Source organism: Homo sapiens, chromosome 16 (assembly GCF_000001405.40).
Source record: "Homo sapiens chromosome 16, GRCh38.p14 Primary Assembly".
NCBI classification, from domain to species: Eukaryota; Metazoa; Chordata; class Mammalia; order Primates; family Hominidae; genus Homo; species Homo sapiens.
Window position 1 is genome coordinate 84,038,279 of NC_000016.10, and position 22,978 is coordinate 84,061,256.

The window sequence follows — 22,978 nt, forward strand, 5'->3', positions numbered from 1 at the left end:
CCAGCCTGGGCCCCAAAGCGAGACTCCCTCTCAAAAAAAAAAAAATTCAGATGTACAGGAAAGTTGCAAGAACGTTACAGTGAACACCCCTGTGGGCAGCCACCCGACTCCCCCATGACAGGTTGCTATACTTGCTTTGACTCCTCTACCCTTCCACCCATGCCTCTGTGAGGCCATCCATCCATCTTAATGGATCAGCATTTTGAAGCAAGCTGCAGATCCCAGTGTACATCCCCTGGAATACTCTGGCGTGCCTACCATGCATTAGAGCTTGATGTTTGTTCATTCACCGGCCTTTTCTCTTGTAGGGTGAATATTTACATATAAAATGCTCAAAGTCTTAAGTGTATTGCTGGAAGATGTACAATGCACATGTGCCAGCCAAACTGCTACCCACAGGCGGAACATCGCCACACCCCGGACGGTGCCACGAGTCCCACTTCTGTCTCCCTCCCATCCCCAGAAGAAACCACCGGTCTAGTATTTTCCACCTTTACGTAATTCCTGGCTACTCCCACTCCATCAAGCATGTGTGATTGATCCGTATCGGGCGCACAGGCAGCTTGCTTCTGTTTTTGCTAAAAGGCCATTGTCTGAATAGATCACAATTAGCTGAGCATGGTGGTCGAGCATTCCACATCTAATCCCTAGAGCCTGTGAACGTGACTTACTGGAAACAGTTTTTGCAGATGTCCACAAGGAAAATGTTAATTAAGTGAAAAAGGGGTTTGCCTCTATCATTAAGGATCTTGAGGTGAGGTCATCTTGGATCTGGTGGGCCCTCAACCCATTGAGGTATGTCCTTGTAGAGACAGAAGGGAAGGAGGCAGAGATTGGAGTCCTGAGGCCATAAACCCAAGAAGCACCTGGAGCCACCAGGAGCTCGAAGAGCCTTTGGAGGGAGCGAAGCCCTGCTGACACCTTCATGTCAGATTCCTGACCTCCAGAACTGTGAGAGAATACATTTCCAGTGTTTTAAGCCCTACGTTTTGTGGTAATATGTTATAGCAGCCCTAGGAAACAGACACATGCAATTGTAAAATATTGAGGGATTTCTCCAATGTCCTCTCACCCACGCTCTAAGCTCCCTGAAGACTGGGTGGTATCCTTTTTTCTATTTTGCCCCAGAGAAGGGCCTGACAAATGCAGACACTCATAAAACATCTGTGGTTGAAAGGCAGGGGGGCCGGGTACGGTGGCTCATGGCTGTAATCCCAGCACTTTGGGAGGCCAAGGCGGGTGGATCACCTGAGGTCAGGAGATCGAGACCATCCTGGCCAACACAGTGAAACCCCATCTCTACTAAAATCACAAAAAACTAGCAGGGTGTGGCAGCACATGCCTGTAGTCCCAGCTACTTGGGAGGAGGCTGGGCAGGAGAATCGCTTGAACCAGGGAGGCGGAGGTTGCAGTGAGCTGAGATCACGCCATTGCACTCCAGCCTGGGCAAGAGAGTGAGACCTTCAAAAAAAAAAAAAAAAAAAAAAAAAGGCAGGGGAAGGTGTGGGGGGCAAGGAAGCCTCACTGGTGAGCCAGCCATCCCTGGAGGACAGGGTCACAAGAGGGACTGAGCCTCCAGGCAGCAGAACCGCAAGGAGCCCCGGTCGCCATGCCAGACCCAGCCCCTCCACAGCTCCCAAGAGGGGATTTGCCCGTTTTCATCAAATGTCTCCCATCCAAGTACTAATCGCGCCCGACCCTGCTTAGCTCCTGAGATCAGATGAGATCAGGTGCGTTCAAGGTGGTATGGCCCTAGACTGTTTTCATCAAATGGCACTAAACCGCCAACCCTAACGCGTCAGGCTTCCAACCTCTGCCCACTGACTTCACATTTAAACGCTCCCCATGCAGAAGCCTCACCAGCTAAGTGGAGGATAGCAGCCTCCCCCAAATCTTCCATCATTCACAGTGACATCACTCCAGCCCCAACTCCATCTCCCCGGTAGCCCTGGAGGCTAAAAGGAACAACTTGGGGTGGCGGGAGCGTGTCAAGAGCCAGGCTGGCTCCTCTGCTCTGCCATGAGTTTCCATTTATTCACCTCAGGGTTCCCTTCTCCTCAAGTCTGCTGAGTGAAGGGATCTGGAGCTCATCCTAAGCAAAACAAAACAGCTGTTTCCCCAGAAGCAAGTCACAAATGTGGTCTCAGGCCCACCCAGCCCTGCAGGGCCAGCATCTGCATTTCAGCAAGATCTGTGTGAAATGCCTGCACGGTGCTTGTGGAACAGGGTTCCCACTCTCTGGCTCATGGCCATTCCTGCTGCCCGGGGATTGGCCACAACCCTACCCCCAAGCCCCACCTGCCCTCTGTGGCTTGAGATGGGGCTTCTCCCTCACTGCTGTAATGGCAGGCTTCCTGACACACTAGTCCAAACGCAGGCGTGCTGCCCCGTCACGTGCACCTCAGGAAGCTCTTACCATTTCCAGTGGGGCTCAGCGCAAAGGTCACCTCCTCCGAGAGGCTTCCGACCACGCCATGTCATATCATCCCCCGATCCCCAGAGACACATGACCCTCCCGGCATGATCCACCATCTGAAGCTGATGACATGCATCTTGTCTGACTTCCCATTAAAACAAAGCTCCATGAGGACAGGGACCACACTGCGTCATCCATCCTAGGCCAGGCACGGGGCAGGAGCTCGGCCAACGCCAGGGGTGTCATGGGTTACACCCGACACTAGTTTCCAAACAGACCCGAAGAGCCTCAGGGCACACAAACGGTTGGAACTCAGCCATTATCCACCAGCTGCCGTAAGACGTGTGAGAAAAAGCCGGCCAAAGAGCTTACCACAAAATGCAGCAATTCATTCCATCAGCCAGCGGCAAAGGATCTTAGAAAATAAAGCTGTGCTCATCAGTGGCTCTCCCGCAGCAAAGAGAAGAGCGCGGCGTCCGCGCTTCCCCAAAAGGGAATTCTGGCTTTGCACCCGGCAGGCAGGAGAGCGGAACATCCGACACCAGGCAAGGCCGGCCCGGCTCTGTGTGGGGAGTGTGGGAGTGTCACACCAGTTTTAGGCTCAATCTGCACACAGGAGTCGAGCTTTGTTTTTGTGTGTTTAAGACAGAGTCTCACTCCGTCGCCCAGGCTGGAGCGCACAGTCTCAGCTCACTGCAACCTCCGCCTCCCAGGTTCAAGCGATTCTCCTGACTCCACCTCCTGAGTAACTTGGATTACAGGCGCCCGCCACCACGCCCCGCTAATTTTTGTATTTCCAGTAGAGACAGGGTTTCACCATATGGGCCAGGCTGGTCTCAAACTCCTGACCTCAGGTGATCCGTCCACCTTGGCCTCCCAAAGGGCTGCGATTATAGGCACGAGCCACCGTGCCCGGCCCAGCTTTAGTTTTTGAGCTAAGACCAGCAGGCAAGAAAGAGCAGCTGGCCAGGCAGGGCGCCCAGAGAGGTTCCTTCCCAGGTGAAATGCCCACTTCACAGACAGAGCTGCGATGCCTGTAGCTCCATCCCGGAAGCTGTGTATCAGATGCCACCAGCGCCCACGGGGGATATTCTCATCCCAGGGCTACAGTGGGATTATCTTCTCCCCTCATTAGCTGAGCGGGATAGAAAATAAAACCCCGAAGCTATAGCTTACAGGACACGCAACTCCGCAGAAGCAATGCGAGGAACCCCACCCAGAAAAGCCAAAGCCACCTCGTACCCGTCCCCAGGACTCACTTCCCGGGGACTTACCAGCTCCACCAGGAAGGCAGGGACCACTCCGCCCGCTTTGGAGAAGGCCCAGGGGAAGTTGAGCAGGCCAGCTCCCAGCGCGGACTTCATGAGGATGAAGACAGCGCCCATCGAGGACAGAGTGGCAGCAGCCGTGGCAGGGTGAGGCTTTTCTGGAAGGCCCCTGCTTCCTGGGGTCTGTCCCTCCATGGCTAGAGGCGGCAGAGGGGTGGAGAGAAAGCACAGTCTTCACGCTTTCCTCCCTAAGTTCTCGATATCCTTATTTGTCTCCCCAACTCAGTGAGAGCTCCCTGAGCCGCTCCTGCCCGCTTCCTTGGCGTCAGCTCCCCCTTTCCAAAGGGTGCTGCATGCATCTGCCCACGACTTCTAGTCCCCCTTCGTCTCCCATTCCCTACCCACATTATTCTCACTCCTGCCCTCCCACTAGACCCCAAGGCAACCTCACCCCTTCCCCCTCCCTCTCTTCTCCCAAACCCCCAACCTTCCTCATCCCCATCAATCCTCTCTCCCCCCATTCCCATCCACTCCCTTTGCTTCCAGCCAAACTTCTGTACAAACAGACCCCCAGTTCCTGGTCCTTACCACCAAATCCAACTTTTAAGGTGCCGGACAGTCTTTGGCTGTTGGGGATGGGACTCGGGCTTACTCCAGGTGGCTCAGTTGCATTTCTTGGGGCCAGAGGGGTGGGAGAAGCAAGATTCGAGCTTGGCCAGGGGTGAGTGAGTCATTAACTAAAGGAGCCCTAGCGAGTATGTGTCAGGGTCAGGCCCCTCCACACCTAAGAGGACAGCAACAAGTGGTCAGGGCCATGGGTCCCAAGAATTTGCAGCTTTTGAGACTTCTGACCTGAGCAAGGAAGGCTTAAGACTCCCGCCTCTCCCCAGCCCCCTGCAGGCCCGGCCCCGGGGGTGGAGCTTTCTCAGCTGCCCTGGAGGGTGACAGGGAGCTCAGCTGGGAGCCACACGGGGCAGGGGAGCAGGCACCATGATCTCATGGCAGCTTCTGCAGCGCCTCCATCCTCACATACCTCTCCAAGGTCCCCAGCCCAACGGAGGGGGCGTGAAAAGTGCCCTGAGCCCAGCCTCCTCCTCTGCAGAACAGGCTCCACCGTCCGCAGGTGCTGCCTCCTAGGTGGTTTCCTTTACCTCCTCCACCCAACTCCAGCAGGTGCGTCTCAGAGCTAATCCCATGCACACGAGTCACCTGAGACGGGGCTTGTTGAACGCTTGGGGGAGGCGGCGGCTGCTGGTCCCTAGGCCACGCTTGAGTGATGACACATCTCTCCAAACTGATACGGGGTCAGCTAAGGGGACAGAATATCGGAGACGGCCCCATTCCGGAAAATGCTGGCACATGCAGCTCAGATCCGGAATTTGACTGTTTATTCCTGGAACCCAGGCTCCCTCTCACCCGCATTCTCGAACTCCAGTTTGCATCAGAATCCACTGGAAGGCTTGTTCAAACACAGAACACCAGGCCCCAGCCCCTGTTTCTGACTGAGTGTCTCCGGGGCGGGGTCTGGGCACCTGCCTTTCTAACGGGTTCCCAGGTGACTCCAATGCCGCTGGTTCGGCCCCTCGCTGAGAAGCACTGCTTTCAGTTAAATATCCTCAATGCCCAGAACCCCTCCCCCCGCTGCATCTAATCAGTCCTTATCTGTCCGACACCAGATCAGCCCCAAAGGCTTCTTTTTGATGTGGTTTCTAATGGTCTCAACCCCCGACTCCTGTTACCTCCTGATGAGCAGGCAGGTTCCAAACTCTGTGGCTCACACAATGGCTGCTCCATAAATGCCCAACCAGCAGAGTCAGTGGCTGGCTTCTCAGCAGGGGCAAGTGAAAGGGAGCCGGGATTGCAGTCCCGGAGCTCAAGGCTGGACAATGACCCGGATGACATTCACGCCACTGCTGCATAAATGTGCTGCTGAGAACCTAGCCTGGATGAGTTCACGCGGATTCCTGAGCGGGTGTCCCCACTGTTCCCCCCAACTCCCACCCCGCACCAAGCAGGAACTCGGCTCAGGCAGGTGGAGCACGTGGCTCAGAGCATCACAGCTGGCAAGCAACAAGGCTGGGATTCACCCTGAGTCAGGCTCCTTTCAGAGGCTGTAATGTCACACGGCCTCCTGCCCCACAAGGACTCTGACAGTGCCTGAATGAGTGTGTGAGAGAATGAATGAATGAATGAATGAATACACAAATGCCAGAAAAGAGAGGAAAGGAAACGTCGTTTGATTGTTCCCCTGTATTACGCTCCTGAGGCTGCCAACACAGACTCAGGGGCTTAGAACAATAGAAAGTTATTCTGTCATGGTCTTGAAGGTCAGAAGTTGGTCAAGGTATCAATGGGGACATGCTCCCTCTGGAGGCCATGGAGGGCGGATCCTTCCTGCCTCTTCCAGCTCCTGGGGGCCTAGGCACTCCCTGGCTTGTGACTGCATTGCTGCCGTCTCTGCCAGCATCATCTTCCCAAGCTTTCTCCTCTGTGTCTTCTCTTTTCAGAAAGGCCCACCCAGATAATCCAAGATGATCCCATCTCAAGATCGTTACTTATATCTGCAAAGACCCTTTTTCCAAATAACGTTAACAGTCACAGGTTCCAGGGCGTGGCATAAATCTCTCTACTGGGGGCCACCATTCAGCCCACTACACCCCTCACATCTGAGATCTGTTTGAGTTCTCATCAGTCATTCAACAAACACTGAGTGCCTACTGTATGCAGGCACTGGAGCTCAAAGGTGAAAGAGAAGGCTCCTCCAGAGAAGGGGACGGTCCCGTGGGGAGCTCAAGAAGAGACAAGCCACCCAAGCCCAATGGGAGGACCGGACTACGAGACCCAAGAATGGAGGTGAATCTGGAGGGGCTTCCTGGAGAAAGTGTGGGGGCTGAGGGGATATCTGTGCACCATTGGTGAAGGGCTGGGAGGATGTTCTGGGAAGTGGAGACTCCCAGTGGCAGGTGCATGAGCCAGTGCTCCCGGGAAGGGCCCCGGGGACTGGGGTTCCCTAGGATAGAGACCTAGGTCAGCGCTGAGCTGGGAAAAGGCTTAAACTCTTGTGTCCCACTCGCTGGAGGGTCACTAAACCATGTGGAGATGGCACTGGACACAGCAGGGAAGGAGGGGGCTGCGGGTGACACCGCAGGCAGGGCCCGTGCAGTACCCAGGCTGGGAGAGGGCGGGGACCACACGCAGTATTCACACAGCTCTCCGAGGCCTGCCAAAGAGGCCAAGTCATTCCCGCTTCCCCCCAAATCCAGCCTCCTGAGAAAGGAGATAAAGGGCCCTTCAGCAGCGGCTGGGGGCTTTGCAGTCCTTAATCTCCGCTCGGGGGCTGGGGGGACACTTCCCTGTCCCTGCCGGTGGGTCCCTCATTAGCGGCCCATTAACGTGCATGACTTAGAAATTGGCCATTGGGCTGTGAAATTCCAGGCAATGGGGAAAACCTCTTAATTCGGAGGGGCTTTGATATCCACTCTCTGCCGGCATCACAGGGCTGCGTGACCTTTCCCGAGCTGTGGAGGGGCGCCCTACTGGGCTGCATCTGCAGCCGGTGGGCGGGCGGGCAGGCGGGTGGGCGGCCACCCTCTGCTTAGTCGGCCCAGCCCACCCAGACCTGACACTGGCTCCAGTGCAGCAGGAGCACGAGGAGGCCACACGGAGGTGCCCGTGTGGATGCTGTCGGCCGTGGCCCACGCTGCACACGGCACCCTGCACAAGAGCGCCCAGCCTGGGGTGGCCTCTCCCCCGCTGTGCTGCGGGGACCCACCTCACCAAGGGAGCTCTTGAGGACCCCAGAGTCCGTGTCAGGTGACAGGCCTAGGAACTTTCACAACAAAGTGGCCTCTGATCGTTTCCCAGACCTTTCTGCTCATGTCCGTTAGAAAATTCTGGAGAGGCCCGGTGGCTCACACAGAGGCAGGTGGATCACCTGAGATCAGGAGTTGGAGGTCAGCCTGGCCAACATGGCAAAACTCCTGTCTCTACTAAAACTACAAATATTAGCTGGGCGTGGTGGCAGGCATCTGTGATCCCAGCTACTCAGGAGGCTGAAGCAGGAGAATCACCTGAACCCGGGAGGTGGAGGTTGCAGTGAGCCGAGATCGTGCCATTGAACTCTAGCCTGGGTGACAAGAGCGAAACTCCATCTCAAACAACAACAACCACCACCCCAGAAAACTCCAGAGAACAAATGACGGCAGGCCTCAGGAGCTAGCCGGCTGCAGCACACAGTATCGTCACCCTGGCTCTGGGGTCTCAGGCCTGAGCCTCACTCGAGTCACCTGTGAAATGGGAGGACACAGGCGCCTGCTCTCTGGGGCTGTCAGGAGGGGCCCGTGGATGGTGTGCACAGCACAGGAGTGGCACGTGGCAGCTGCTGAGGTTGGAACAGAAGTGTGTGCCATATTCCATTATCCAAATTTCCGTTTTCACTTGGGTCCAAATCGGAGCTTCTAGAACAGTATCCTGAACCTTAGCTACACGAGAACCGCCTCGGGCCTTCCTACACTACCGATGCCAGGCCCACCCGCAAAACTGCACATTCAACTGGCCTGGGACGGCACTAGGCGTCAGAATTTTTTTTTTTTTTTTTTTTTTTTTTTTTTTTTCCGAGACAAGAGTCTCACTCTGTTGCCCAGGCTGGAGTGCAGTGGCACGATCTCGGCTCACCGCAGCCTCTGCCTCCCGGCTTCAAGCCATTCTCCTGCCTCAGCCTCCCAAGTAGCTGGGATTACAGACGTGCACCACCACGCCCAGCTAATTTCTGTATTTTTAGTAGAGATGTGGTTTCACCATGTTGGCCAGGCTGGTCTCCAACTCCAGACCTCAGGTGATCTGCCCGCCTCGGCCTCCCAAAGTGCTGGGATTATGGGCAGTCAGAATTTCTACGAAGCTCCCCCAGGAGGGTCTACCGTGCTGTGAGAGTAGAGCACCCAGTTCTTAGGGCCTCCCGCTGACCCTGCTGTCCCCGAGACTGAAGCCCCTCCTTTCTCCGAAGCTCTCAGCCCTAGGCCTGGCCCACGAAGGCTGCTTAGTAAGCAGCGCAGCAAGCCCAGTGTGTCGGAGCAGAGCCGGCCTCCAGCTTCTCAGATGGTGGGAGGGGCCCCACCTGCAGAAATTACCAGGGACCAAAAGTCCTCGGATGGGAGACGGATGTCATAGGGATAGAGAAACTGCTTGTGGTCGGTGAAATGATGGCCTCAAAGATGTCCTCATCGGAACCTCCAGGCCTTGTATGTTACCCCACATGGCAAAAGGGGCTTCACAGATGAGATCGGGGACCTTGTGGGGAGGGGACCCTGAGCTATCCAGGTGTGCTCTATATGTAATCAGTGTCCTTCTAACACGGATGCAGGAGGGGCCAGAGGTCAGAGAGGAGACAGTGGTGTGGAGACAGCAGCAGAGGCTAGAAGGGTGTGCGTGGAACACGGAGGAGGGGCCACCGGATGCTGGGAAAGGCAGGGAAATGGGTTCTCACCCAGGGCTTCAGGAAGGAACCAGCCCTGCCAACACCTTGATTTTAGGCCAGTGAGCCTGAACTTGCACTTCCAACCTCTGGAACCGCAATATATGTTTTAAGCCACTAAATTTGTGGTAGTTTGTCCAGGTGGCAATAGGACCCACATACACCAGCATCCTGAATTCCGATCCTTGGGCAGTTCTGAGAGGACAGGCTGGTGGGCTCCCCCTGGGCTCAGCAGCAGAGGCTGGATCCCTCAGGAACACAGCCACAGGGCACAGGCCTTGTCACATCCCGCGGTCCCCGCCTGGGGGCTGCTTCTCCAGAGCTGTAGTCAGAAGACCTGCTCTGGGTAAAGCAGTAAAGGGGTGAACTGTGGGAGGGAAAGGAAGCATCCTTTAGGCTCACTCTCCTCCTGCCACTGTGTCCAATGGAGGAAACACTGGGGGTGCTGCGGGGGGTGGTCAGCAGCCAACACAGGGCTGGGGGCAGAGGGCAGGGAGGAGGACGTGGTGCCAGGGCTGAGCCCACAGGGTCTTCATCCAGGGGGTTCTGACCACTTGGGTTCACACTGACACTGGGAGTCGGAAGGGCACAAGAACCTCTCCCAGGTTCTAAGCCAGGGCTCCCAAGGGGGCCGCCTGTTGACAAGAATCTCCTGTGGAGGGAGCGTGTTAAGAGTTAACATGACATAAAATTCACTTTTTTTAAACTCCATTCTGGGGCTTACCATTTTAAAGTGTGCAATCCAGTGGCTTTAAGTACTCACAATGTTGTGCCAGTATCACCACTATCTAATTCCAGAACATTTTCAACAGCCCCAAAGGAAGATCCCTTCCCCTAGCTCCTGGCAACCACGAATCGACTCCCTGTTTTTGTGAACTTTGTTTACTGTGGAGACTTCATCACACATGACATGGCCTTTTGTGTCTGGCTTCTTTTACTCAGCATGTTCCTGGGGTTCCCCAACTTGGGAGCATGTGTGAGAACTTCGTTTCTTTTTGTGGCCGTGTTCAATGGCATGGAGAGGCCACCTTTGTCCATGTGGCCATCACTGCTAGACCTGTGGGCCGGCCCCGCCTTCTGGCTACTGTGAATAGTGCAGGTGTGAACTTCACAGAGGTTTTTGTTTGAACACCTTGTTTTCAGTTCTCTTGCGTATAGGCTTAGGGACTGCTGGGTCACAGTTCCAGCAGTTGTTTGCTCTTGGGAGCTTTTAAAAGAGATTCCTAGTCCCTTCCCAAGGAACAGATGATCTAGTCAAGCTGGGGTGAGGCCAGGGATCTGTATTTCTAGGACACTCACCTGCAATGCCTTCTTGTTACCAGCAAATGAAACCATTATTCCGTGAGTTAATATCCAATTAAGGCGGTGGTGCCAGCCACTTTTTTAATGAAGAATTTCAATATTTCTCTAGAAATGTCTATCTAACCTGTATATAAAATGGGAGACAACCCTTTTGCATATCCTTGACTCTATATTTTGTGTCCTGTGAAATCAAAATCTATGTCAACCCTCCCATTATTTCCAGTAGGCAGCACCCTCCGCCCGCCGTGGGAGGCAGGCAGCCTGGCGGTGAGGGCTTCAGAGCTCAGGCCCAGGCCAGACCTGGGTTTTCGCCTGAGAAATGGCTCCGAGAGCCCTGGGCGGGATCATGCCCATGAACCATTGGCCTGAGGCACAGAGACGACCGCTCAGCAGGTCCCAGGACCATCGCTGTGGGCCAGGCTCACCTACTGTGCGTGGCTTTCCTGGGAGGTCTCCTTGGAGCCATCATATGTGGGGCACGCTCTGCACGGAACAGACAAGTGTGTGTGCAAAGAAAGATCTAGACTTGAGTGTCCTATACAGGGGAGGGGGCCAAAGGGGGAGTCACTATTTGTATCTCATCTCAAAGGCTCCTGCAATCGGGGCCACTGCCTGAGTCTCTAGAGAGAGCCAGGGCAAAGGATGACATCTGGCCCCTCTCACGGTCCCCAGGCCCCCTGTGAACCCCAGGTGTTATCTGTGGTTGTGGCTGGTTGGTCTTTTTTTTGTTTTTTGTTATTTTTTTGTAGAGACAGAGTCTTGCTTACTTTGGCCAGGCTGGCCTCAAGTGATCCTCCTGCTTCGGCCAGCCAGTCTTGGGATTTCAGGCAGAGCCACTGCCAGCTGGCCTTTTCTGGCTTGTTAAAAAGATGTAGCTGTTCACTAGGACAATGAGAGCCTATGCCAGGGGCAAAAAGGAATCCTTTCGAAGGGGGGTTTGGCCCAGCCCAGGACCACGAGTGGGCCTAGGTGACAGAACGTGGCCTCAACCTCCAGGCACGTGTGTCCCTGTAATGGCTGACACCGGCGCTGGCTGTCAGGCACATGGCTAAGCACATGGCCTGGGTGACACCATGTACCAAACACACAGCAGTCGGTGGAGTGAAGGCCCCTGGCTAGGGCCCACAGCAGGAGTGGCCGGGCTGAACTGGACCCAGGCAGCTTGAGTCTAGGGCCAGGGCCACGACATCCTCTCCAGGACCTCCAAGGCAGACCCCGGAATCCCACGGCTGCCACCCAGCAAAGGGGGCGTCCCTCCAGGGCCTCTTCTGTTGGGTGGCACATCTGAATGCCAGACTCAGCCATCTCAGCAGACCACATGGATCCGGTTCCTCCCGGAGACCTAATCCCCTTTCTACATAAACTCTCCACCAGGGCGTTCTCTCTCCAGGCTCACCCTCACCTGCTCCTTCACTCAATCCTCCCAGACTCTGTCCCAAGGCCCCCCAGCATCTGGGTATCCTCCTGGTGTGTCACTGTCCCTTTAGAGAGAGACAGACAGACATGGGACATCACACAGACACCAGCAGGAGAGAACAAGGGTTAAGTACACAGGTTTTGGGACTGAGGGCAACATGAGTTCAAATTCTGCCTTGGCTACTAGTTGTATGACTGGGCAAGGGGACGAGTGATTCCCGGGCTTCTGTTTCACCTGTGTGATGGGCCCAGTGATGCCCACCTTACAGTGTGTGGGGAATGAAACAAAAACACATGTTGTAACTAGCACAGCGTGCCTGGGCACACAGTTCCTCATGACATCATTCCGGCAACTGGACAGAAAGGGTCCTCGCCTTCTGGTTTGAGGCAAAACCTTTAACATAACCCTGTCCTTTATGGTCCTGACCACCAGACGGTGAGTGGCCTGCACCTGTAGAGACCTGTGAGACGAGAGGCTCCAGAGCCAACAGCATGCAAGGCCCGCATGTGGGTAAGGAGAGCTGCAAGGCCGCATGTGGGTAAGGAGAGCTGCAAGGCCCCATGTGGGTAAGGAGAGCTGCAAGGCCCGCATGTGCGTAAGGACAGCTGCAAGACCCCCATGTGGGTAAGGAGAGCGGCAAGGCCCCATGTGGGTAAGGAGAGCAGCAAGGCCCGCATGTGGGTAAGGAGAGCTGCAAGGCCGCATGTGGGTAAGGAGAGCTGCAAGGCCGCATGTGGGTAAGGAGAGCTGCAAGGCCGCATGTGGGTAAGGAGAGCTGCAAGGCCGCATGTGGGTAAGGAGAGCTGCAAGGCCGGCATGTGGGTAAGGAGAGCTGCAAGGCCGCATGTGGGTAAGGAGAGCTGCAAGGCCCGCATGTGGGTAAGGAGAGCGGCAAGGCCCGCATGTGGGTAAGGAGAGCTGCAAGGCCGCATGTGGGTAAGGAGAGCTACAAGGCCGCATGTGGGTAAGGAGAGCTACAAGGCCCGCATGTGCTTAAGGAGAGCTGCAAGGCCGCATGTGGGTAAGGAGAGCTACAAGGCCGCATATAGGTAAGGAGAGCTGCAAGGCCGCATGTGGGTAAGGAGAGCTGCAAGGCCCACATGTGGGTAAGGAGAGCTGCAAGGCCGCATGTGGGTAAGGAGAGCTGCAAGGCCGCATGTGGGTAAGGAGAGCTGCAAGGCCCGCATGTGGGTAAGGAGAGCTGCAAGGCCGCATGTGGGTAAGGAGAGCTGCAAGGCCCGCATGTGGGTAAGGAGAGCGGCAAGGCCCGCATGTGGGTAAGGAGAGCTACAAGGCCCGCATGTGCGTAAGGAGAGCTGCAAGGCCGCATGTGGGTAAGGAGAGCTGCAAGGCCGCATGTGGGTAAGGAGAGCTGCAAGGCCCGCATGTGGGTAAGGAGAGCTGCAAGGCCGCATGTGAGTAAGGAGAGCTGCAAGGCCGCATGTGGGTAAGGAGAGCTGCAAGGCCCACATGTGGGTAAGGAGAGTGGCAAGGCCCGCATGTGGGTAAGGAGAGCTACAAGGCCCGCATGTGCGTAAGGAGAGCTGCAAGGCCGCATGTGGGTAAGGAGAGCTGCAAGGCCCCATGTGGGTAAGGAGAGCTGCAAGGCCGTATGTGGGTAAGGAGAGCTGCAAGGCCGCATGTGGGTAAGGAGAGCTGCAAGGCCCGCATGTGGGTAAGGAGAGCGGCAAGGCCCGCATGTGCGTAAGGAGAGCTGCAAGGCCGCATGTGGGTAAGGAGAGCTGCAAGGCCGCATGTGGGTAAGGAGAGCTGCAAGGCCCGCATGTGCGTAAGGAGAGCGGCAAGGCCCGCATGTGCGTAAGGAGAGCTGCAAGGCCGCATGTGGGTAAGGAGAGCGGCAAGGCCCCCATGTGCGTAAGGAGAGCTGCAAGGCCGCATGTGGGTAAGGAGAGCTGCAAGGCCCCATGTGGGTAAGGACAGCTGCAAGGCCGTATGTGGGTAAGGAGAGCTGCAAGGCCGCATGTGGGTAAGGAGAGCTGCAAGGCCGCATGTGGGTAAGGAGAGCTGCAAGGCCCCATGTGGGTAAGGAGAGCGGCTCAGAGCCGCAGCCACCTGCTAGGGACAGCAGGGCTCCTGAGTGGCAGATGCTCGCGCCCCCGGGCTGCGTGTGACGCCCTACACCCTTGGGACAGCAACGAATGCCTCAGGGGACCTCAGCAACACATTCGGATTCTCGAAGCAATGTGGGCAGAGTGCAGTGAGAGCTGCAAGATGAGCACGTGACCTGCCGCGGACGAAAAGAACTGCAAGGGACAGTCGGCCCAGTGGCTCCTCCCCTGCGTGGGCCGAGATGTTTTCTGCCCGTGACCTCAGCAGCACCCTTGTCAGTCCCCGCACGGCCTCTGCCCTCCTTCCCAGTCACCCTCGCCTTTGCTGTGTGGGCTGGTGCTCGGCCAGTCAGCATACAACACCCTGTTCAGGTGGGGATCGACGATGAACAGGCTGCCTGGGATCAGGCAATGCTTTTTCCAATATGACCCCTAATGCACAAGCAACCGAAGAAAAAAAAAAAAACAGAAAAAATGGACTTCAAGATGAAAACCTTTTCTATTTCAAAGGATGGCATCAAGAGAGTGAAAGGACAGCCCAAAGAACAAGAGACAATATCTGCAAGTTCCATCGCTGATAAGGGACTCGCCTAAGAACTCCTACAATTCAATAAAAAGACAACCCAATTAAAATATGGACAAAGGCTCTGAACAGACATTTCTCCAAAGAAGACAAACGGGCAACAGACACATGGAAAGACACTCAATGTCGTGAGTCTTCAGGGAGGTGCAAGTGAAAGCTGCAGTGAGACAGTGCTGCACACCCACCAGGATGGCTAGCATTTGTAAGACGGGGAACTGCAGGTACTGACGAGGATGTGGAGAAAGGGGGGCTCTTGCACGCTGCTGGCAGGAATGCAAGATGGTGCAGCGGCTTTAGAAAAAAAGTCTGGCAACTCCTCAAAAACTTAAACACAAAGCGGTATTTCACACATAGGTACACTCCCAACAGAAAAAAAAAAAAAAAACGAAAAAAAAAACTACGTCGCACAAACCCCATACCCAAATACTCAGAGCAGTGCTGTTCACAACAGCCAAAAAGTGGGACCACCACAAACGCCCACCAGCTGAGGAAGACAGAAACACAACTGGTCTAGCCACACCACAGGACACTGCTCAGCCACAAGCAGGAATGAGTCTTGATACCTGCTACAGCGCTGGTCAATGAACCCTGAAAAGACGACACTGAGTGAAAAGAGTTGGACGCCAAGGACCCACTCGTACTGTGCGATCCCATTGAAAGGACATGTCCAGAACAGGCCGATCCACAGAGCAGCCCGGCCGCCAGCAGCCTAGGGGCAGGTGATGAACGCGGGTGACTGCTGGTGGGAGTGGGGTTTTGCTCTAGGGTGATGGAAATGTTCCGGAACCTGCACAGCCTTGTGAATACACCAAAAACCACTGCGCTCTACACTATAAAGTGGAGAATGTTATGTGAATTACGTCTCAGTGAACACAAAATTAGCAGGTTGATTCAGAACCCATTCCAGACCGTCATCAAAGAGAAATGGGACAAGTGGAAAGAGTCCGTTACACAGTATCTTTAAGCTTCAGACGGGTAATACATATTTATTGAAAATTTTCTTCACCGACAATGGTGAAATCAAGACCTCAAATTACAAAACATGGTGGCAGGTGATACTTACAAAAATAAAGCGAAGGTCTATGTTTTACAGATTTGTGCATGTTTCCTTCAAATCTCAGTCTGTACTGTCATTAAAAAGATCATGGAATCTATGTTGTTCCTCATGATGGAATAGTAAAAAAACTGCATTCCACTGACAAAAAAAATAGCTTTGCTTCCAAATAGCACAAGTCTTTAAAGTGACTTTTCCCAACAATAAATATAGAAAATAGCCTTTAACAAGCGTCTTTTAGCTTGGTCAGGGTTGTATCATTTGTTTGGAAAGTACATCCTTCCCCTGCAGTCAGAAGACCCCAGACAGCCTTTCCAGTTCTCCCGAGTCTTTGGTGCGCACAGCTGCCGGCGGGAAGTCTCACTGGCGGCAGAGCCACTAAGTCCCTCCTGACGGGATCCACAGGAATCTTCTCGATGTACCAGGAGCCTCTGCCCATCACAGGAGGGCAGGCCCATGTAGAACAGACTCTAACAAACCTGCAGCTGGAAACTGGATCCCTTTTAAACCAGCCGCCACCACAGCTCGGCTCACCCACCAGCGCCGTCCGTGAAGGCTCTCTCTGGCCCTCACGGTCAGCCAGGCTGCCGGTCACACCGAAGGGGTCTTTGGCGGGTGAACCTGCTGCATGAGCTGCGGGCGCTTCACCCTGGGCTTCCTCCGCTTCGGCCTGCTCTTGGCCTTGTTGATTTGTACCACAAAGAAGGCCAGGACCACCATGGCTCCCAGGAAGGCAAAGACAGGAATGGTCTGGCCCACCTCCTGGTTGTAGCGGCCAGGCATGATCCCTGTAAGAGGACAGCCGGTTGAACAGGCAGGAACGCCACAGAGCTACCATGACGGCCTTTTTCTATGACGGCTGGATTCATCAGAAACTAAATGCGAGCTAATTTCACTAGCTGGGCTTGCAGGGCATACATCATTTTTAAGCCTTAGCTAAAGTAACCCAGGCTATTAATAAAGAGTGGATGAGAGCAAAGAGCAGCCACTTCCTGTGGGGTGGAGGCTCGGTGGATCTCTGCTGCCCTTCCTCCCTGGGATCCCCGCAGACGGATGATCAGGCCCAGCTATGCTTCTGTCACAACCTACCGAAGGGAGGCCCAGAGGCGCTCTGTGTTTCTCTAAACACAAGGGAAGATGGGCACGTCTCTATCCAGGGGAGAAGGAGGGGCCTGTGGTTCCAGCTGAGTGGGAGGAGGAGAAAGGGGGCGTGGCGGAAGAAGCACCGCTGGCAGTGCCCCGCCTCTGGGAAAGCCCTTCATGGAGGGGACGTGTGGCTGAAAGCCAGGAGAGGCCATCAGAGGACCCTGGTTCAGAATGTCAATACGACTGGGCAAGGCCAAGGGCTCTGGAATTTACCTTCAGCGCACCCCGTGACCTATGCGCAAGGCCCTCAGGACCCTGGCACCACCACGTGGTGTCCAGGGCTGGACTGCACAGACAGGGGTGCCCCTTCCTGATCCCATTTCTGGACAATTCCTGGAACCCAGAGAAACTCCTCTTGGTAGCTATAAACTCTTTGGAAGAGTACAGGGGACTCTAGAGCAAAAGAACTGCCCAGGCTCGGCTGGAAAGGCCTGGTACCAATTGCCTTGGGTAGTGGAGAAGAACCTGCCCTAGGCAGTCTATGTAGCCAGTCAGGATCCCTGGAGAGACAGACAGGATGAGACCACCTAAGGGACACACCCCAGCTCAGTCAAGTCCCTCCCAGGGGGGCAGGGCAGAGAACTGAAGGGGCCTTCTGGGCTGAGGGCTGGGAGCCAGGGCGGCTGCTGCCATTGGCTGGGACCCAAACCAGCAGACAGGCATCCTGTAAGGGACGTTAATAGGTGGCTGGCAGAACTTTCATAAAGAGCGTGCAAGTTACTTTGAACATGTTTAAGTAGATCACCCAGCCGTTGTAAAATAAATTCAAATGTGAAAATCTAGGTAGCATTTTCTAAGGGAAACAACAATCTCTTAATCTGTCAGGCCTGCCCTTGCTCATGCTGGTTTGTGCCACAAAAGAAGCCAAGAGCCAAGGCCACCACAGCTCCCAGGAAGGCAGAGACAGGGAGAGTCTGGCCCGCCTCCTGGGGAGGGAGGGAGACTCCTTTGAACAAAATACAGGATGACTGAGCACAATCACAAAGCAGCCGAGAACTCACCTCCAGGAATGTCCCAGGCGCCGCTCTCTCCAGGGGACAAGGGCCTCACTTGAGGGCGATTCGATCGAAAGTTGGGTAACACCACCTTGTCCAGGTCAATGGAGAGTAGCTTCTGATGTTTCCAAAGGTTACTTCAGGAAAATGGATTAAAACAAAACAAAAATAAGCCATTGTACTAGTCTAGGTACTAGTCTAGGAAGTTCAACTGAAACTCAAGACAGAGCAAGTGATCTACGGGGAGATGTGAAATGCCATTTGCGTCCACGGCCACCTAAATGCCACTGACAGCAACTATGGTGGCCGTTTCCACGTCCCGAGGGAGAAAGATCAAAATCAAGTCCCTGTTCATGAGATTCTACTGAGTTTACAATATGACCAGCAGGAGCCTGTTTTTGCATAAAGCTAAACATGACCAAGCGCCTCGGGAGGACACTCCAAGCGAGGCCCTGGAAGGAGCCTGTCAGGGGGAGGAGCTGAAGCCTGCTGAGTGGACCTGAGCCTGGGGCTATCGAGGTCCTCTCCCTAAGGCCTGGAGCAGTCGGAGGCAATGGTGATTCCAGAACCACTGCATATAAGGAAGTGGGCAAACTGGTGCCGGGAACCAGACAGCATCTTTGTCTCTGAAGAAACCACTGTCTCCAGGGAGAATACGAAACATACAAGGAACCAACAGTGGGAGAGAGTCTGAGCAGCAAAACGTGGGGTCCCCATCTGCCTTGCCTGCAGGCGGGGGACGATCAAATGAACGTGTGCGATTCCTGCACTCTGTGGTGCACAGTATCATTATTAACTCTGGGATCTGAAAAACTCGTTCAGGCCAATACAACTTAGACCCGAAGAAGACAGAGAGGTTGATACGCTGGCAACAGCAGCACAGAGCTTGGGAGGACACCGGAGCTAGAGCGAAGAGCGCGATGGGAAAAACACTACTCTGGCTTAAGTGAGGGGGAAGAATACAGTAAGTTTGCAAATTAAAATTTCTCTATTTTTCTGTTATTTATTCATTTGGAAACTGTCAGCCTGTCTCTTTCACTTTGGGCAAGTGAAAGCAAAGACGTCCAGTCCTATCAGCAATTAGGCTGAAAGTCAACGCCAAGCTGGCGGGCAAGGGCTGGTCTGAGTAGAGGTTCCCTAGGCAGGCAAGAGAGAGACTCCCACTCGATACTCCCAGCTCGGCAACTGCCTGAATGCCAATGAGCACTCATTATAACCCGCCCTATTTTATAGGATTTAATTTTACACTTCAGGCTTAATCAGTCTGAAAGTTAAACTGACAGTGTTAAGTTACGGAATCAATGACATTTAGGCTTTATGACTTTGTAGCTGAATATCTATGGGCTATATTTCCATTCTAACAGTGATATCCTGTTCCAGAATCTCATTCTTTGGTGATGGCACTTTCTAGTGGAGCAGTCATGGTAACAGTCCACACCCATTACCATGTGGGTGCTTTACAGCATACTGACGGAAGGACTGAGGAGCCACCGGAGCAGGAGTTCCTCTCAGGGAGGACGCTGACACTTCCACAGCTGCCCTAGGTATGGGCACCTGATGCCAACGAAGAAGCCCAAAGCGCCTCTCCACTTCACAGATGGAAGCCTGCCCCCAGCACTGGGCTGACAGCATCTGGAGCTGTCTCCTGGTCTCAAATCTCTTTTGGAGACTCAGAATATGCGTCGATCTAGGTCTCTGGGGACCGAGAATAATTTTCAACAAGATATGAAAAGCAAGATAAATGTAAAACCCAGCAGCGTACTGAGAAGAAGGAATTACTGAGTGATTGTGAAAATCAAATTCCAGGAGCTGTCCATTATCAACATGCTGGATGGGCCGGTTCAGTATGTGATGGATTATTTGATGTGAACAGGTAGATAGCCAAGGATAGAAAGGATATTGTTATCTGCTTCAAGTCCTGAACAACACTGTGGAGAATAATTGGGTTTCTGGAAATTCAGCTAACACTGTTCACTGAGTATGAATTGCTGACCATGGCTGGAATATAAATGCTGGTTTGAATGCTAGGCTAATAGAAGGTTATAAATAAATAAGATGCAAAAATGGAAACTTATCAGAAATGTTTAAATGATGAGATGTGAACTGGAATGGAAAAGTACCCAGTGATTAAGGTTCAGGAAGAAAGCTACTGATGAGACAATGTGATGATTCTACCATTTTCCTGTGTTCTATTAAGCATATTCGAAATGAAGACATACGGTCAGTGCGTGGTGTGTTCAGCACTTTCGGTTTATGATGAGGAGTAAAGGCGGAAGGCAGCCTCGCCACCTTCACACGGGCACTCTCCTCTTCGCCTTACAGGACGGAAGGTGGCCTCCGTCCCTGGCCCCATACCATCACTGGAGGAAAAGAAGGCAGGCAGGGGGCCTGTCAAGAGGGTAGCCTCCTGCCTGAGGGGCTGGGGAGAGGGGCCGGGTACCAGGCGGCCAGGGGGCCTCGGAGGGCAAGACTCCTGCTTGATGGGGTGGGAGGTGTGCCTGCCCGGCCACGGACACAGCTCTGACAGCTGTCCCTGGCTTCATCCCCTTTCTCAGGAGAAGCTCCCCCTTTCTTCTTATATTGTCCTGTTTGGGCCAGGGACGTCACAGAAAAAGTAAGGGGGTGGCATCTGGAGAAAAAGGGGACCAGCCATGCCGAGCTGGTCCTAGCCACAGAGGGAAACAGCAGGTCCACCTCAAACACTGGGTACGGAAAGGAAACGATGCAAATGAAGAAGCCGAGTTAGTGAGCTGGAGAAGGGATCCAGGCGGCACTGCAAACAGGAGTGTGGAGACAGCAGCAGAGGTCACAGCCTGCCATCGGAGGCGGGTGCTTTCACCCCCAGTCACAGTCAGCACAGGACGTAATGACACAGAAGCATGCTCTTCTTGGACAGGCTGCAACCGCGGCCCCCGGGGATGACAGAAGAAGGGAACTATCTGTATCTTATCATCAATGTCTGAAACAGGGAACACACTGCAGCCGGCAGCTCTTAACTCCCCAACCACAGGACTTAGAGCTCCAGCTCCCATGAAATCACTCTGTTGGATCCCAGCTTTTTAAAAAAGAATTAACCAAATGTAACAAAATGCTAATTATCCAAAGCACTTTTTATGCAGGATACCACCAAAGAGCCTATTTCCAAAGGCCAATACGAGGTTCACTAAATAACTGTCGCAAATGACAAGCTTGAAGATCTGACAATTCGATAGTGATGTCAGTAAAATTCCATTCTCTCCTATAAGAAAAGCAATGACTCACAAGCCCCGTGGAAAGAGTGGAAGGGCACAGGCGGACACTAACCTGGGCGCCGTCTCGTTTAAAGGCTGTGGCTTGGCCCAAGACAAGCGTGGACAGGCTGGTAGAGGCCGAGGTTTTGGGTCTCCCAAATGGGCCTCCAGAACCTTGGAGTACCGATGAAGATGGTTTCCTGTGGTTAGCAGCAACATCAACAAAAAGGAAAATCATCTCTATTACTAAAATGCAAAGGAAAAAGGAGGGCCTTATTATGAGTCTGTCTGCTTTCCCACAACACAGCACAGAGCCCCTGTGCTCTATTAAGCTATCCTCCATGAGCCGCAGGAGCCACGCCTGATTGGTTCCTCCCGGACAATGTGTGTTTCCATTGCTGAAGGTGGGTGAGAAAATCAGAACCGTTCCCTTGAAGATGGGCAGATGTGTGCACAGCACTGGCTGGTCAAACTTTGCTGACCACCACTGACACACGCAAGGCTACACCTGCGAAATCTAAGCTACAGACCGGTTTCATGGAAAAAATACTTCTCTTCTAAAATATTTAATTCTCTGGCCAAATAAAAAACCACTCTGCATTTTCAAAATTCTTTCTATTTCTTAGATCTGCACCATTGTGCCAACCACACGTAGCTACTGAGCAAGTGAAATAAGGTATCACGTGTTTAAATTCTAATATTCTTCATGTCTTGGGCTCAAGTATATTATTAAAATAGTTTCATCTGTGTTTCTTTTTACTTTTTAAACGCAGCTCCTGGAAAATTTTAAATGATGCCTGTGGTTCCCATGAGCCTTCTACGGGCAGCGCTGTAAGGACCAGCACACCAGGGACTTAGACGCACTGATACCCACCCCACTAAGTGCCAAGCAGCTGGCGGCCCCACGGCACCAGCACAGGCCCCAGAGGCGGGTTGAGGCTCCACCACCACATACCGCCCAGGCGATCTCAGGCAGTTATCTAATTTCTCTCAGCTCTCATTTCCTCATCTGGAAACTGGGAATAATAACATCTATTTTCACAGGATTACTGAGAGGGGACAGTGAGGTAATCCATGGGAGCATCCCAGCCTGCTGCATGGGACCTGGCAAGTGCTCTAGAATGTTGGTGATTCTTCCTGAAGATCTGTAGGAGCCACTGTCCTCACCTGTGAGAGCGGGACGGTAAACACACTCAGAGTGGCGTGAGGGTCGGGGTGCACGTGGGAAAGCAGCTGCACACTGGGTCCTCGATCATGGCCCTCTGGGGACTAAGGATGGCCTCTCGGCAGGTTAGAGCCGCTGAGTGCTGCTCTACCCGCAGCCATTACGAAAACCACTCAGCGGCGCACACAAACTGGCCCCACTTGCTGGCAGGCACAGCCACTGGCTGAAGTAGCATCATGTTCAGCTGGATCCAATTCCCTCCCCAAGGCATCCTGCCCATCCACTCACCTTCCATCCTCTCTGGAGTGACTGAGCCTGCTCCACTGGGAGGGCGCTGGCGGTTCCCAGAGTGACTGAGGCTAGGCGGTGTCACCCCATACGATGTGTACTGGAGGAGGGCATCCAGAAGCCAAAAGCAGTCTGCGAAGTCAACAAGCCTGTTTAGGAATTCCTTTTTTTTTTTCCAGACAGAGTCACGCTCTTGTCACCCAGTGCAGTGGCGCAATCATAGCTCACTGCAGCCTTGAGCTCCTGGGCTCAAGTGATCCTCCTGCCTCAGCCTCCCAAGTAGCTGAGACTGAAGGCACATGACAGCATGCCCGGCTAATTTTTTATTTTTTGCAGAAATGGGTCTGGCTGGTCTCAAACTCCTGGGCTCAAGTGATCTTCTTGCCTCAGCCTCCCAAAGTGCTGGGATTATAGGTGTGAGCCACCACACGTGGCCCGGAATTTAGCTTTTAAGAAGAAATCTCTAAAGGAATTTTTTTTAAGTTAGTCCCCAAAAGTGGGGGAAATGGGAGTTCAGAAGTCACGAGTTTAGGTCAAAGTAAATCCAACATGTTCCAGATTCCCCTATTCTCATA

At 53.7% G+C, this 22,978-nt stretch overlaps 2 protein-coding genes and 1 pseudogene across 5 annotated transcripts in view, besides 8 other annotated features; all 3 read right to left on the reverse strand.

The window, feature by feature from the left end:
• The window catches only part of SLC38A8 (solute carrier family 38 member 8), a 33,706-nt gene extending 28,612 nt beyond the window's left edge, over nt 1–5,094 (reverse strand). The window contains exons 1-3 of one of the 2 annotated variants that reach the window (XM_017022946.1): nt 4,718–5,094; nt 4,273–4,358; nt 3,691–3,881 (exon numbers count right to left, since the gene is read on the reverse strand). In XM_017022946.1, coding sequence (XP_016878435.1) covers nt 3,691–3,879 — 189 coding nt within the window. In that variant the 5' untranslated portion in view covers nt 3,880–3,881; nt 4,273–4,358; nt 4,718–5,094. Of the gene's footprint in view, nt 1–3,690; nt 3,882–4,272; nt 4,518–4,717 lie in introns of those variants that run through there. The other variant, NM_001080442.3, reaches the window with a different exon arrangement.
• Nucleotides 1,640–1,755, reverse strand: RNA5SP432 (RNA, 5S ribosomal pseudogene 432; annotated as a pseudogene).
• Nucleotides 3,271–3,975: an enhancer, noted in NCBI's record as "H3K4me1 hESC enhancer chr16:84075154-84075858 (GRCh37/hg19 assembly coordinates)". NCBI's record gives its function as "activates a minimal SCP1, AML or CMV promoter by ChIP-STARR-seq in naive H9 embryonic stem cells {active_cell/tissue: H9 hESC(naive)}" and the evidence as "EXISTENCE:reporter gene assay evidence [ECO:0000049][PMID:30033119]".
• Nucleotides 3,976–4,679: an enhancer, noted in NCBI's record as "H3K4me1 hESC enhancer chr16:84075859-84076562 (GRCh37/hg19 assembly coordinates)". NCBI's record gives its function as "activates a minimal SCP1, AML or CMV promoter by ChIP-STARR-seq in primed H9 embryonic stem cells {active_cell/tissue: H9 hESC(primed)}" and the evidence as "EXISTENCE:reporter gene assay evidence [ECO:0000049][PMID:30033119]".
• Nucleotides 4,680–5,384: an enhancer, noted in NCBI's record as "NANOG-H3K4me1 hESC enhancer chr16:84076563-84077267 (GRCh37/hg19 assembly coordinates)". NCBI's record gives its function as "activates a minimal SCP1, AML or CMV promoter by ChIP-STARR-seq in primed H9 embryonic stem cells {active_cell/tissue: H9 hESC(primed)}" and the evidence as "EXISTENCE:reporter gene assay evidence [ECO:0000049][PMID:30033119]".
• Nucleotides 5,385–6,088: an enhancer, noted in NCBI's record as "NANOG-H3K4me1 hESC enhancer chr16:84077268-84077971 (GRCh37/hg19 assembly coordinates)". NCBI's record gives its function as "activates a minimal SCP1, AML or CMV promoter by ChIP-STARR-seq in naive H9 embryonic stem cells {active_cell/tissue: H9 hESC(naive)}" and the evidence as "EXISTENCE:reporter gene assay evidence [ECO:0000049][PMID:30033119]".
• Nucleotides 7,076–7,848: an enhancer, noted in NCBI's record as "H3K4me1 hESC enhancer chr16:84078959-84079731 (GRCh37/hg19 assembly coordinates)". NCBI's record gives its function as "activates a minimal SCP1, AML or CMV promoter by ChIP-STARR-seq in naive H9 embryonic stem cells {active_cell/tissue: H9 hESC(naive)}" and the evidence as "EXISTENCE:reporter gene assay evidence [ECO:0000049][PMID:30033119]".
• Nucleotides 10,265–11,149: an enhancer, noted in NCBI's record as "H3K4me1 hESC enhancer chr16:84082148-84083032 (GRCh37/hg19 assembly coordinates)". NCBI's record gives its function as "activates a minimal SCP1, AML or CMV promoter by ChIP-STARR-seq in primed H9 embryonic stem cells {active_cell/tissue: H9 hESC(primed)}" and the evidence as "EXISTENCE:reporter gene assay evidence [ECO:0000049][PMID:30033119]".
• The window catches only part of MBTPS1 (membrane bound transcription factor peptidase, site 1), a 63,180-nt gene continuing 55,686 nt past the window's right edge, over nt 15,485–22,978 (reverse strand). For all 3 annotated transcript variants that reach the window (NM_003791.4, XM_047434831.1, XM_047434830.1), the window contains exons 20-23: nt 22,404–22,535; nt 21,024–21,150; nt 17,727–17,857; nt 15,485–16,367 (exon numbers count right to left, since the gene is read on the reverse strand). In NM_003791.4, coding sequence (NP_003782.1) covers nt 16,171–16,367; nt 17,727–17,857; nt 21,024–21,150; nt 22,404–22,535 — 587 coding nt within the window. In that variant the 3' untranslated portion in view covers nt 15,485–16,170. The remainder of the gene's footprint in view (nt 16,368–17,726; nt 17,858–21,023; nt 21,151–22,403; nt 22,536–22,978) is intronic.
• Nucleotides 16,962–17,555: an enhancer, noted in NCBI's record as "H3K27ac-H3K4me1 hESC enhancer chr16:84088845-84089438 (GRCh37/hg19 assembly coordinates)". NCBI's record gives its function as "activates a minimal SCP1, AML or CMV promoter by ChIP-STARR-seq in naive and primed H9 embryonic stem cells {active_cell/tissue: H9 hESC(naive and primed)}" and the evidence as "EXISTENCE:reporter gene assay evidence [ECO:0000049][PMID:30033119]".
• Nucleotides 17,556–18,148: an enhancer, noted in NCBI's record as "H3K27ac-H3K4me1 hESC enhancer chr16:84089439-84090031 (GRCh37/hg19 assembly coordinates)". NCBI's record gives its function as "activates a minimal SCP1, AML or CMV promoter by ChIP-STARR-seq in primed H9 embryonic stem cells {active_cell/tissue: H9 hESC(primed)}" and the evidence as "EXISTENCE:reporter gene assay evidence [ECO:0000049][PMID:30033119]".